Source organism: Homo sapiens, chromosome 6 (genome assembly GCF_000001405.40).
Source record: "Homo sapiens chromosome 6, GRCh38.p14 Primary Assembly".
Lineage (NCBI taxonomy): Eukaryota > Metazoa > Chordata > Mammalia > Primates > Hominidae > Homo > Homo sapiens.
Genome location: NC_000006.12, coordinates 46,746,670 through 46,760,169, shown reverse-complemented (window position 1 = coordinate 46,760,169; position 13,500 = coordinate 46,746,670). Strand labels below are relative to the sequence as shown.

The 13,500-nt window shown below is 39.5% G+C and overlaps 1 protein-coding gene across 2 annotated transcripts; it reads right to left on the bottom strand.

Annotated features, from left to right (window-relative positions):
- Positions 1 to 663: 663 nt before the first annotated feature.
- ANKRD66 (ankyrin repeat domain 66) lies at positions 664 to 13,237 on the bottom strand. Of its 2 annotated transcripts, none has more exons than NM_001162435.3 (5): positions 13,180 to 13,237; positions 10,191 to 10,274; positions 8,059 to 8,233; positions 6,220 to 6,448; positions 664 to 1,447 (listed from the first exon to the last, which is right to left on the bottom strand). In NM_001162435.3, exons 3-5 carry the CDS (start codon positions 8,219 to 8,221, stop codon positions 1,249 to 1,251), a joined length of 591 nt encoding a protein of 196 aa, NP_001155907.3. In that variant the 5' UTR covers positions 8,222 to 8,233; positions 10,191 to 10,274; positions 13,180 to 13,237; the 3' UTR covers positions 664 to 1,248. The 2 variants fall into 2 exon arrangements, with proteins under 2 accessions (NP_001155907.3, XP_016865637.1); XM_017010148.2 differs by lacking the exon at positions 664 to 1,447 and adding an exon at positions 1,456 to 4,091.
- Positions 13,238 to 13,500: the final 263 nt, after the last annotated feature.

Genomic DNA, 13,500 nt, shown 5'->3' with positions numbered 1-13,500 from the left:
CTCTATTCATTTATCTACTGACCTATCTCTATCCCTTTGTCTTTTCCTCGGTCTTCTTGTCCTTTTTGTAGAGCATCTCTGTACCCTTCCTCAGCCCTAGTGTAGAATTAGCCACTCCATACTTCTGAAGTCATCTGCTATTGGTCCAGCCTATCATGAGGATTTCTTTTCAAGTACCCAGGAGAAGAATCTTATTAGTCCAGCTCGAGTCAGTTGTCTTCCAATGTTTCTACTGGTCCAAAGCAGGAACTACTCTGCATTGCAGAGCATAGAGAAAGGGATTGATGCTCAAGGGTAGATCAACACGAGGAAAGGTATCCTCTATAGCTATACTGCTTTTCTATAAGATATTCAAGCATTTTTTTCATACCAGAAAATTCAAACAAAGCATGACTTGTATTAACACAAGCATTAATTGAGGAATAAGTAATAAAGATACTTGATAGCTAAATAAATTGATTTAGGCAGAGAAATTAGTATATCTAAAATGCAGAGCAGCCAGGGAAAGTAAAATACACCAGACTAGTCTCCTAGTAGAGGCTTAACATGCTGTTTGGGTTCTATAGCAATGCTGTCCAATAGAAATAAACTAAAAAAGCACATGGGTAATTTTAAACATTCTAGTAGCCACATGTTTTAAAAAGGAAAAGGAAAAAGATAAAATTCATTTTGGTAATATATCTTATTCAACGCAATATCCAAAATATTATCATTTCAATGTGGAATCAATATTAAGTATTATTAAGGAGACATTTTATATTTTTGTACTAAGTGTTTGAAATCTAATGTGTATTTTGCATCTCAATTTGGATGCAATTTTTTATTGGAATTATCTGATCTGAATTTAATTTTCCCAAATTTACAGTTGAAAAAGTAGACCTATAATCACATGTTCATTATTTTACATTATCTCTCGATCGTTATCAGGGATGAAGTTAATTCATGCCAGAGTTTCCTTGTCTCCTGAAATTCTATTATTGTTGGGGGGCAGGGGTCAAAAGATGCTGACTGTGCAAACCACTGATGACAAAATGCAAGCAGGTTTTGTCCTTTCCCGGTAATTATTGTACACAGTAGGTGCTAGCCAGGAAACAACAGCCCATGTGGACAGCACCTAATGACAGGTCCATGGGCAGAAGCCAGGTGGGTAAGGGTCTATGAGTAAAGTCATGGAAAGGCCACCATGCCTAACAGCCTCATTTCTGGCACCAGGGAAAGTTCCTTGCCAGAAAACATAAGGTTGAGTTCTCATACTCTCCTCCCCTTGGTATTGCTGGGCCTGGTGGGGCCTCGACTTTTCTTATTCTTTTTATTCATGTTTTGATTTAGGGAAGGAAGAGACAGCTCCAGCTCCCTTTTCTTGGCATCCCAGTCTTCATCACGCTCATCCAGAGGCAGCCCCTTCTGCTGGGCAGCGCAACGGTGGTCCTGGCACTCGGGCTCTGCCCTAGGAAAGAAGAGAGAGCCTTCTGAACTTGGATCAGGAGGACCTGTTCCAGCCTGGGAATCGGCCTTTATTCACAGGTTCTGCACACCGCAGTTCAGTTGAGAAGGAAGGAGGCCAAGTTTGAGCATTTCCAAGCATACACTTAGGGAAGGTCTCAGACACTAAAGAAACTACTTGGAGGTGGAGAAAAATTGTGGGACCCGAGTGAGATGTTAACAGACTCAAAGATAGTCACTCAGCTTGAAGAAAATGCTCCTGATTCTTGAAGTGCTCACATTTATAGAGCAACCTGCAGATTATTGCGAGACTGTTTTCGTTTATTTTTAGTTTTATTTTTCATAATCATAAAAGTGATGTGTGTTCCTTGTATAAAATTTAAAAGTACAGAAACATATAAGGAACAAAATGAGAATCACTCACAATCACATATGTATTATACGTATGTATGGATTCTGTAAAAATACATATAATTGTAAATGGATACATGGATGGATAAATAAATAGAGCATTATACACACATAGACAATGGGAAATACACACATATACAGTTTTGTATGAGGCCAATGGTGAGTATGTGACTTGCTTAAAGGTACTTGGAAAAGTCACTTTTGAACCAATATGAGGACAAATGGAATTTAAGAGGATAGATAATGGTATAGGGAAGGCAAATAGCATTTTAAGTGCAAACCATTATTAAAAGCACAGTTCATTCAAAGGACAGCAAACTCACTAGTCCCTCACCCTAAGCTGGAAGTGACCTTTCAATCTTCAGACCACACCATGTCTTTCCTCTGCCTAGTCACTCTCTGTCTTGTATTAGTGTTATTTATGTAAACAAGTTATTTCGTCTCCCACACAGTTAACCTTCTTGATGTCCAGCACTGTATCTGGTTTATTTTAGGTTGTTTTTAGTGTCTAACTCAATGACATACACATAGTAGAACTCAAAAATATTTGCTAAATGAGAGGTTTATCACTTGGGGGGCTGAATCAAAAGCTGAATTGTTTCACAACATTCCCTAGGATATTCAGAAAATGATCACATATGGTCTAGGCTTCTTTTGAAGTTCTCTTATATCCTTTATCTTCATCACCTAGCCCAGGAGCCAACTTACTCAAAATGTGAATCAATAAGAAATTCCTTAAGTGATCCCCTTGCCTAAAGTCTAGCAGTCTTCAATCCCACGCAGTACCACTGCCAACTCCTCTACTACACAAATAAATTGCTAATGCATCTGTTTCAGCTTGTGACTCCCCTGATGAGCTCACACTCTTCTGCTTGCCTAGTTCACTGTGGTCACCCACCCCGTCACCTGACCTTATGCTCCATTCCTCTCTAGTGTGAATGCTCTGCCTAGCCAGGCCACTCATCCCTGCACTCCACTATCCCTCACCTTCTCACATATACACACAACCTATGCACATTTCCAAGTTGGTGCCTTCACTCTAAATCAACAGTTTTTCTCCCTCCTTCATTAGCCAGCTAGCTTTCAAGATCCAGGTTAATCCCCCCTTAATTCAGGATTCTTCTCCCTAAACGCTCTGTCAGGGAAGTTCTTAGTGGGAGCTGATAATAAGTAGAAATGACTCACACGTGATGTGACTGACCTTTATTGTTTTTGCTGGCTCAACACTGTCTGCCTACTTTTCTTGGTAATAGCACTCCCCACTATTTGGAGGCAAGCACCCCTCCTGCATTTCAGTTATGCTGGGATCATATTTCATGTTGATCCCTGGTCACTAGGGAGGGGCTGGGATTACTTAGAGAGAGTCAGTAGAGGACAGCCAAGGGCAGGACCCTAAGGAATGTCAGCATTTAAAAGGCACGCAAGAACATATCATAAGATTTATTCTTAGAAAAAGCACATTTTAAAAGTCATAAGGAATTATCAGAGAAGTAGAAGAAAAACTAAAAGAGAATAGCATCAGATAAAACAAGGGAGAAGAGTTTCAGGAATATTAAATACCGAATTAAGTGGAGGTAAGATGTGAATTGAGAAGAGGCAATTGATTTAGCGTGAGGAGCTCCCTAATGACTTGAGTGACAGCTGATTCAGTATGGGGATCAGGGAAGAAGTCTGAAGCGTGGGTGAGAGGTGAAGAAGTGGAGACAATTACATAGATTAGTTTCCTCAAATTTAATGTTTCAAAGAAGTACAACTATCATGATTAATACTGCTATATTATATGTTAAAGTTCCAAGGCTATATAAAACTATCAAGTAATATCAGTAAGCGTTCCTATCATAATATTCAAGCAAATGAAATAACGTTGCCTTTTTGAGAGAAAAACATATTTTGAAACTTTTACAAGCAGACATAAAGACAGTTGACATTTCCAAAAAGGCACACGTAATTTATGAAAATCTATTACATTCCAAATTTAGTACAAACTCAAAGCTGATCTAATTCTGATACTTAAAATGCACCTCTCTCCTTTGGCTGAAAATGAAATAACAAACCCTTCCAATTAACAGACATTTAAAACCTACTCAATTTGATTGCTAACAAGTCAGAGGAAGGACATGTTGTCCTTCCCCAAGATTTTAGGACCTAATGTTTACCATGATCTTAGATCTTGCAAATACAAACTACTAAAGAAGTCAGGCGTTTCTTGATTTATATAGAGTCAAAATTCTATTCCCCTGGGGAGAAGAAAGAGAAGGTAGTTGTTTAATGGGTGTGGAGTTTCAGTTTTACAAGATGAAAAAGTTCTGGAGCTCTGTTTCACAACAATGTAAATGTGCATAACACTGATGAACTGTACACTTTAGAAACAGTTAATATGGTAAATTTTATGAGTTTTTCATCACAATAAAAATACAGAAAACTATTCAAAAATTATATTTTTTACACAAGTTATTACTATAAAACATGTTAGACACTCTGAGAGGATAAGTGCTTTTCCTTTTGGATTAAAAAAAGTAGATTAGCTTTCAAGTTGCTTAGAAGTGTAGGGAAGAAGAAAGACACAGCGCAATTCAGAAGGGCCTCTAACTTTTTGTTTGTTTGATAATACCTATTTGAACATGTTCACAGTCCAAAAAGAAGTCAAGGGAAAGGAAAAAACACTAAAAATACAGGAGAAACCGTAAAGATGTAACAAAGAACACACGAATAATGAATGGCCTTCTAGAAGACATAAAGGATTAGATCAAGAGTCTATATGGAGGGATAACACTTTACAAAGGAGGGACAGGACGGCAAGAAGGAGCTGATATAAATGTACATAAAATCTGCAGGTGTGAGACTTGAAAAATGTGTAACCCATGGCTTCAATATTTTTTCTAAAGTAGAAGGCATACCTCTGAAAGACAGGCTGAGGTGTGATGTGGCTTTGGAATTGCCAGTGAGGAGTAGGATAGGAAGAGATAGCCAAGCTGCTCTGAGGGCTCAGATAAAAGTGGAAATATTCAAACTGCTAGGATACCCATATATTGACGTGGGATTTTCTCTAGCTGAACAAGGATAAACGTGGAGAAGACAGAGATTCATCTAAGGTTGGGAATTCCAGGTTATGTGCTGGGTTGAGAATTAATAGCAGGAATAGCGGGAAGAGAGTGGAAGAATGAAGTGTATTATGGTACTCATATGGTAGAGGAAATTTAGTGAGACCTTCAGGAAGGTGATAGATTAGGAGAAAAAGGAGAAGTTGAGTGACAAGAGATCTTGATGAATTCAAGACCTGGTGATAATGCAGGAACTGATAAAGTGAAGAGAGCTATGGTCACATTGTGGTATGTTAGGATTTTAAAAAGTTCAGAGAACAATGTCTGCTGATGCTGAGGTCCACAGAGGATGGAGATCGTTGAATGTAGGGGATGATGGATGAAATTGGGAAAAGTGAATCTGTGAGTCAGGACTCAAGGTTCTGCCTCTTTACTCCCCAAAGCATCTCAATTGTGATATTGGATATTTTTAATGTAAGACATTACCTTTAAGAGAATGTCTCTTGGGTTACTTCTATAGATAACTAATCTCATCATAGGCAAAATTTTCACTTGTTCAACTTTCTGAAGATAACTGCATTTTCAGGTTCTTCGGAGGGCACCCCATCATGAACTGCCCCTATAGATGGCATTGCTATCTATATCATTTGGTTTCCAAGCAACGATGCCCTCACTCCAATACTCTACTTTCTCTTGTATGAATTGCTTGTCGAAACAATCGAATTCTAAGTTTCCAAATTTTGTTCCATCCTCTCAGAGCTATAACTGTTATGCAAATTATTGGTGCTTAATTATGTTTGAATGCTTGGCTGAGCGAAAAAAATAAACAGGTGCTAGTTAAGTTCTTTGGTGTGTGTAAATAGGGCATTCACAGATGAACATAGAAGTTTTAAAAGATAGGAGGGCACTGAAAAATGGAAGTCTAATTCACCTGCCTCGTTTTAAATATGAGAAAACTGAGGGTCGGGAAGCTGCATTGACTTGCACAAGGTCACACAGCCAGTTTGGATGCCTTTTAGAAAGCTGAAGGTCATGATTCTTGCACCATGTCCCATCTTCAAACTTGGTATTCCAATTCTCTTATCTGAGATAATTTTTGTATAATCAAAACAACATGTTAATATAGTTTTGACCCCTAAACTAGTCTTTTAAGTGAAACACTAATAAAAATAACTCAACTAAAAAAATCAATAAAAATAATAGTCCATTGGCTGGATTTCCTCATTTCATTTTCATTGACCTGAGACCACAGAATCACCCAAGATCTTGATCACAGACTCCTGTTCCTCTGCTCCTTCTATAGGTGGAAAAAAAATAAACTTACTTTTCCAGAAATGCCACACAGGCTTTCTGTCCATAGATCTGTGCAATCCTCTTCGGTGTGTCTCCAAAGAAGTCAGGGGCGTCGATGGCAGCGTGCAATGCATGGAGAGTTTTGAGTATATTCAGATGGCCTGCTTCTGCTGCAAAATGAGCTGGGGTCCAGCCCACACTAGTAACCAGGCAGGGCCTGGCTCCATATTCTATCAGGAGCCGTATCACCTCCATTTGCCCTTAGATGTACCAAAAAGAAACAGGATGAGGTTAGGATAAAGATGTCCCAAGTGGCTTGAGGCCAGGGCCAGTCTAGGTAACACAATAGAAGGGGAAACTTTGCCTTTGAGGAGCCTCCAGTTTCCTATCATCATCCCCTCCTCCCTTTTCCCTCTTCTCACCAGGGACTCAGTGCCCTACCTCACCCCACGAACCTTGTTCCCACCCAGGGCCTGAGCCTTGCAAGCCTTCCCTGTCCTCCTTCCAGGACACTCCCCTCCCCTGTGCATTGCCACAGGCCCTGCCCAGGAATCTTGCTTTCTCTCCCAAGCCACACTATACCTGCCTATTGGTAAGGCCCACTGTGCTTTTGACAGTCTCAACACTGAGCCAAAACCAAATATTTTAAGTCCTATTTACGTGATAAATAACACAGGTTAAGAGCACAGGCTTTCTAGTTGATAGATGTGATTTCATACCCTGACAATCCCACTTGCTAACAAGTGGCACCTCAGACAAGAAACAAATATCTGAGGCCAATTTCCTCATTTGCAAATTAAGGATATTACCCCTTATATCACTGAATTCTTGTAGAGTGCAGGTGAAATCACAGACATGAAGTACACAGCACAGTGCCCAGCACATAGCAAATCTTCACTAAAAGGTGTTTCGGTATAGCTACCATCACTCTGTACTTAGATTTTTGCAAAAATATCCCAACTAATTTCTCTGCAGCCAGTCTTGCTTCTTGTCAACCCATTCTCCACACAAGAATCACAATAAATGTGTAAAAAGCAAAGTTGACCATAGCACTTTCTTACTTAACATTCTTTAATGGCTTTCTATTGCCAAAGGCTTTGAGAGGCCCACAGCCTGAGTTTTTGCCACTATCTTCCTCTAATTCTGTAACTGAGCTATGTAAGGCGTGGGGGATTCAATGAGGAATGAAGCAAAGTCCCCTATCCTTCTTTGTGATGCTCTATTCCTGTTAGAGGTTGAGAGGGCAAAGGACTAATATTAACTGAGAGCAGACTGTAAGATAGGCACTGTACACTCATTATATTACTGAATTCCCATCACAGGGCTCCAAGGTGGCATTCCTGCACACGTTATTTAGGTGAATAAACAGGCCCAGAGATATCAAATAACTTGCTTAAGATGCTACAACTAGTAAGCGGTGATATCAGGATTAAAATGTTCCATCTGGGGCCAGGCGTGGTGGCTCACGCCTGTAATCCCAGCACTTTGGGAGACTGAGGTGGGTGGATCACTGGAGGTCAGGAGTTTGAGAGCAGCCTGGCCAACATAAAGAAACACCTTCTCCATTAAAAATACAAAAATTCACTAGTCGTGGTGGCACATGCCTGTAATCCCAGCTACTCGGTAGGCTGAGGCAGGAGAATCGCTTGAACCCAGGAGGTGGAGGTTATAGTGAGCTGAGATTGTGCCACTGCACTCCAGCCTGGATGACAGAGCGAGACTCTGTCTCAAAAAAAGAAAAAAAATGAAATGAAGTTTCCAACTGGCTCTAAAGAAATGTTTGTTCCACTCCCCCACATAGCCTACTGATTGATAGCCTCATGAATGGTGGACTCAAAAGGGCAGATCTACCTAAGCATTGCCCACTCACCTTTGATTGCAGCCCAGTGAAGTGGGGTCCGGTCATTCCAGTCTACATCTTTGTAGTTTGGGTCACAGAGACCTTTCTTCAAAATCTTCTTCACTAAGCTGTAGTCTCCTGCAGCCACAGCTTGGTGAAGCTTTGTCATGTCTGACATTTTGGCCAATTCCATGGCAGAAAACAACTGTGGGAGAGACATGCCACTTAGGAAATTCTATGTAACTCTTTATTCCTAGCGAGTAATCCCATAGACTTCTGTATCATTTATTTCCTTTCCTGCCGCATGCATTTGCCTCTCAGTTTGCCTCATGTGTGTGGCATGAGTGTGTCCTTAGACCTTAGCTCCTGTGGTTAGTGCCTGCCTGTCACCTACCCTAAAACTATTGGTGGCTCCCACTGCACACAGAATTATGTCTAAACTCACGGGCTACCTGGCCTCAAACCATCCTCCAGTGCTATTTCCTACTCCTACTTCAGAGTTCTAGTAGTGTTCCCTTACGTTAGTAAGTAAGTAAGTTAGTAAGTAAGCTAGAATTGCATGTAATTCTGTGCCTTATCTTTCTTATCTATAGAATGGATGTAATCTGCCAGGGTTGTTGTAAGGATAAATGTCAATTTGCAAAAAAAAATTATATTGGATACAGAGCAGGTACTCCATGAAAATTAAATAGTATTAGTGTTGTTACACCCGTTGAGATGGACACACAATCACACAAATAAATATGTGAAAATTGTTATTAATGTTATGCCATAAACTAGCAGTTCTCAAACTATAGTCTATAGACCTTCAGAAATCCCTGGAGCACTTTCAGGGGATCTGTGAAGTCAAAGCTGTTTTCATTATATTAAAATGTTATTGGCCTTTTTACACTGTGTTGACAATTGTTCTGATGGCTCAAAAGCAATAGTGTAGAAAACTGCTGGTACCTTAGCATGAAGCAAGGCAATGACACCAAACTGGACCTGGAATCATGCCATTCACCACACACTCAGAGTAAATTTTAAAAAGCCAGTTACATAGGAACATCCTAAATGAAACAATAAGAATTATTTTTATTAAATCTTTATCTTTGATTACATGACTTAATGAATGTGTTATTAGAATATTGTACAATGAAATGTGTGCATGTTTAGAAAATATTTATCACCCTAAAGACCAATATTTTCCATGGCAAAGATAGAATGTTACAAAATCATGCATGGATAAAGAGATCCATTTGGTAGACCAATGGATTTTAATAAAACCATATAGAAAGTGCATTGATATCATTTCAGACTGCACATTGCAACTAATCTTTAAGACACTACAACTTACACAATATTGTTGTAGTATCAAACAATATCCACAATTATCTGAAAATATTCCTCCCTTTTCCAACTTTATATATATAATATATATGTGTATATTATATGTACACACACGTATATATAATATACATGTGTATATGTGTATATAATATATAATTATATATTATATATACATATGTGTGTATGTATATGTGTATGTATATATATCTCATGCACATATATGTATATATATTACATATACTTGTGTGTATGTGTGTGTGTATAACCAGATTGTCTTTATATACTTTAACCAAAACAACAAACTGAATGCAGAAGCAGATACAAGAATCCAGCTGTCTTCTATTAAGTCAGATATTAAAGAGATTGGGCAGGGGAGAGTAAACCTATGTGACTAGTCACACTTGTTTTGGAAAATATATTTATTTTCATAAAATGTCATTTATATTATAGTGTAATAAGTTTATTACAGTTTTTTAAATGAACTAATCAATATTTAAAAGTTTTCTCAGTTTTAATTTCCAATAGAATAAATTGACAACCATAACCACATAAACAAAAGCTCTCTGGGGCTCTCAATAATTTTTAAGAGTAGAAAGAAGCTCTGAGAACGAAAAGGTTGAGAGCTGCTGACGTAAAGAAGGAGCTGAGCTAGAAAACAAGAGTGGAGAGAGTGCCACTTGAGATGGGGCCATTGGGAATGTCTCTGATCTCAAGATTTAAGTTGGGATCATAAGAAGGAGCTGGAGTCAACTTCACTAACTGTGACCAGCAGCAGCAGCAGCCCCTGGGAACTTGTTAGAAATGCAAATTATTGTGCTCAGCCCCAGACTTACAGAATCTGAAACTCTGGGCAGGGGTCCGGCCATCTTTGTTGTGGTAAGCCCTCCAGGTGAGTGCATTGAAATGTGAGAACAGCCCTGGAGGGAGAGAAAGAAAAGTAAACGTAATTAAAATGCAATGCCCTAAATGCCCAGAGGACAGAGAGAAAGAACCATTCACAAAGACCGGAAAGTAAAAGAGCTTTCTCTAAAAGTGGCCTAAGCTGGGTCCTGATGCGATGGGTCAGAGACATATTGGCGACTGATGGAGGTGGAGTATCCCCAGCTGAAAGACAGCATGTATGTGTCCAGAGTCACATGCTGCAAAGGGGAAGTAGTTCCTAATGTGTAAACCAAGAGTCAATAAACTTTTTCTGTAAAGAACCAGATAGTAAATATTTTTATGCCAAGAGGAAAAGAAAAAAGCGGGGGGGGGGGGGGGGGAATAAAAGAGAAAAAAAAATTATGCCAAGAGTCTATTACATATATGTAGGAAAGAAAACTCCTGCTCCACCCTGCCCCCCTTGCCTGGGGTGGATCTTTCTACCCTCTTTGTACCCTGGAGCCCTCAGGTGGAGATATTCTTAGGCGAACGAGGACAAGCCTGAGGGGGAAGGGCCTGGTCGGTGAGATGGTCAGTTTCACTCTGCCCTAGTGATGCTCAGATCCCAGTGAACTTTCTCTCCTCCTAGAGGGGTCATCTCCAGTTAGTTGGCAGGAGACATGGAGGCTCATGGAGCCACCAACTCCCATACTGAGATTCCACTGCTCAGTCCCAGCAGTTGCCACCAGCAGAGTCTCCATTGTGTAGGTGGTGACCAGCAGGGCCTGGGCAGTGGCCAGGCACAGCTGTGGGCTGCTGAGGGGCCAGCAGGGGCAGAGGGCATTGCCTGGGCTTGCTCTGGGAGTCTCACTGTGCTATCCCATGGAGGTTCAACACCTTAAATGGTGACCACGGGCCTACGAAAGTGGGGTGAGCCAGATTTGGCCTGTAGACCATAGTGTGCTAGCCTCTGATATAGGCAAATCATTAGAGACCTTGTTAAAATGCAGATTCTGATTTAGTAGGTCTGGAACCTGGCCTGAGATTCTGCATTGTAACAAGTTCTCACAACGGTACTAGCTCACTTACCACACTCTGAGTAGCAATATCTTTGTGGCTGAAAAGTAAGGTATAGACTGGCTGGAAGCAAAATTGGAGAGCTGAGGAGGGAGTAAGGATGTGGCAGCTGTTCTCAACTGAGGGGATACATGAGAATCAGCAGTGGATTTTCAAAAATACAGATGCCTGGGCCTCAGTCCAAAAGGAATCAGAATCTTTGGGTGTGCAGGACAAGGATTGGGCATGTTTTGTGAAGTAGATGCTCTGTACATACTATGTTAGGTAAAAGAGAAGATGGCACAGACTGCATTTTACTTTCAAAATTCATTTTAATAGAAATCCCTTACACTGGAGTGTTTGATCAATGATAGAATAGTAAACAAAAATGCTAGAGTGTTTCTAATCTGAGGGTGCCACTAAAATAAAACCATTTTTTAAATCAGTATCTAGAAGTTTTTCGCTTGCCTTTCATAGAGGCCTTTAAGCAGGTGTACATTTCAACTAACCCCATTTGTCCCACATTTGAGTTCATGCCAAGATTCCATAACTTTCCATGGGTGAGTTGCAATTCAAGTGGAAGCATTAGGCAGCAAAATTTATTTCCAGAGAAATGGAAAAGCCGATTCTAAAAAATCATATGGAAATGCAAGGGACCCAGAAGAAAACAATCTTGAAAGAGAGCAAAGTTAGAGGACTCACACTTCCTGATTCCAATAAGTATGCCAGGAAAATTCAGTGACAACATAATAGTCTTTTCAATAAATGATGCTGAGACAACTGGATATCTACAGCTAAAAGAATGAAGTTGGTCCTCTCCCTCACAAAGATGTATTCCTGTGTTTTCCTCTAAGAGTTTTATAGTTTTAAGACTTACTTTTAGGTCTGTGATCCGTTTTGAGTTAATTTTTATACTTGACAACAATTGCCACAAAACAATTGAACATAAATATAAGGGTTTTTTCTAGACTCTCAGATCTACTCCGTTGCTCTAAATATCTATCTTTATGCTAGTACTACACAGTCCTGATTACTGCAGGTTTGTAGTAAGTTTTGAAATGGGAAAGTCTGAGTATTCCAATGAGCTATATACCCAAGAGAAGAAAAACATATATCCATATAAACATTTGTACATGTATGTTCTTAGAAGCATTATTTATAAGAGGCAAAAGTGGAAACATCCCAAAGGTTCATCAATAGATGAATAGATACACAAAATGTGGAATATCCATATAAAGCATTCTTATTTGGCAATAAAAAGGAATGAAGTACTGATACATACTTTATGGATGAACCTTGAAACATGCTAAGTGAAAGAAGCCAGTTACAGAAGACCACATATTGCATACCTCCATGTATGTGGAATGCCCAGAATAAGCAAATCTAGATAGCTAGAATGTAGACTATAGGCAGCCTAGGGCTGCGATGGAGGTTGGGGTGGGGAGTGACTGCTGATAAGTACAGGATTTCTTTTTGGGGTGATGAAATGTTCTTAAATTAGATTAGATGCTTTCACAACTCCAAAAGGCCCAAAACCACTGAATTCTACATTTTAAATGAATCCAGTTTTATGGTATGTGAATTGTATTTTAACAAAGCTGCTTTACAAAAAACTATTAATTAGAAGCTTTCTACAAAACAAAAACAAACACAATTTGTTTGCAGAAAATATATACAACTCACTAGCTTGGCATTGACTACTGAAATTTATCAATTGGTTCCTTTAGTAACCAATCCTTGTGAATTTGATTAAATGCACTTGATTTCCTATCTTTCTGGTAGAGGCACATCTACCATAAAGATAGGAAATCAAGTGCAAAGTAGTCAATAAATATCAGTTTTAATAAATGTGAGTGATTTTTAATAACTATAGTAAATAAGAGAGGGTAACTTAAAAACACTTACTGTCTTGTGTGAAATTTGAGGAGCTCTGTGCTGACAGGCAGTCCTAACCATCCGGAGTGTTGTGTCCATGCCATGGAAACTGACTCCTCCTTCTGCATGAAAGCCAGCCAGTCAACTTCAGCTTCCCTAGGTGTCTGGTGGGGTGGGATTGCCAGTCTGCTTCACACCCTAACTCTTCAGCAGTTCCAGCCATCTTTTTTAGTCCAAATGTGTTGGCCCTTAACAGGTTCTTTCAAATAGTATTTAATGCAAAAAATAAAAGTAAAATAAAATTTAAAAAGCTGTGAATGATTGTCTGCCCACATAATACTGTGACGGAGG

Excerpts from the sequence above, each read along its gene's own strand:
- ANKRD66 (NM_001162435.3), bottom strand. The coding sequence starts at position 8,221 with ATGGAATTGGCCAAAATGTCAGACATGACAAAGCTTCACCAAGCTGTG. Across the intron at positions 6,449-8,058 it reads TCACTGGGCTGCAATCAAAG|GGCAAATGGAGGTGATACGG; the intron begins GTGAGTGGGCAA and ends GGTACATCTAAG. Across the intron at positions 1,448-6,219 it reads TGTGTGGCATTTCTGGAAAA|GGCAGAGCCCGAGTGCCAGG; the intron begins GTAAGTTTATTT and ends CTTCTTTCCTAG.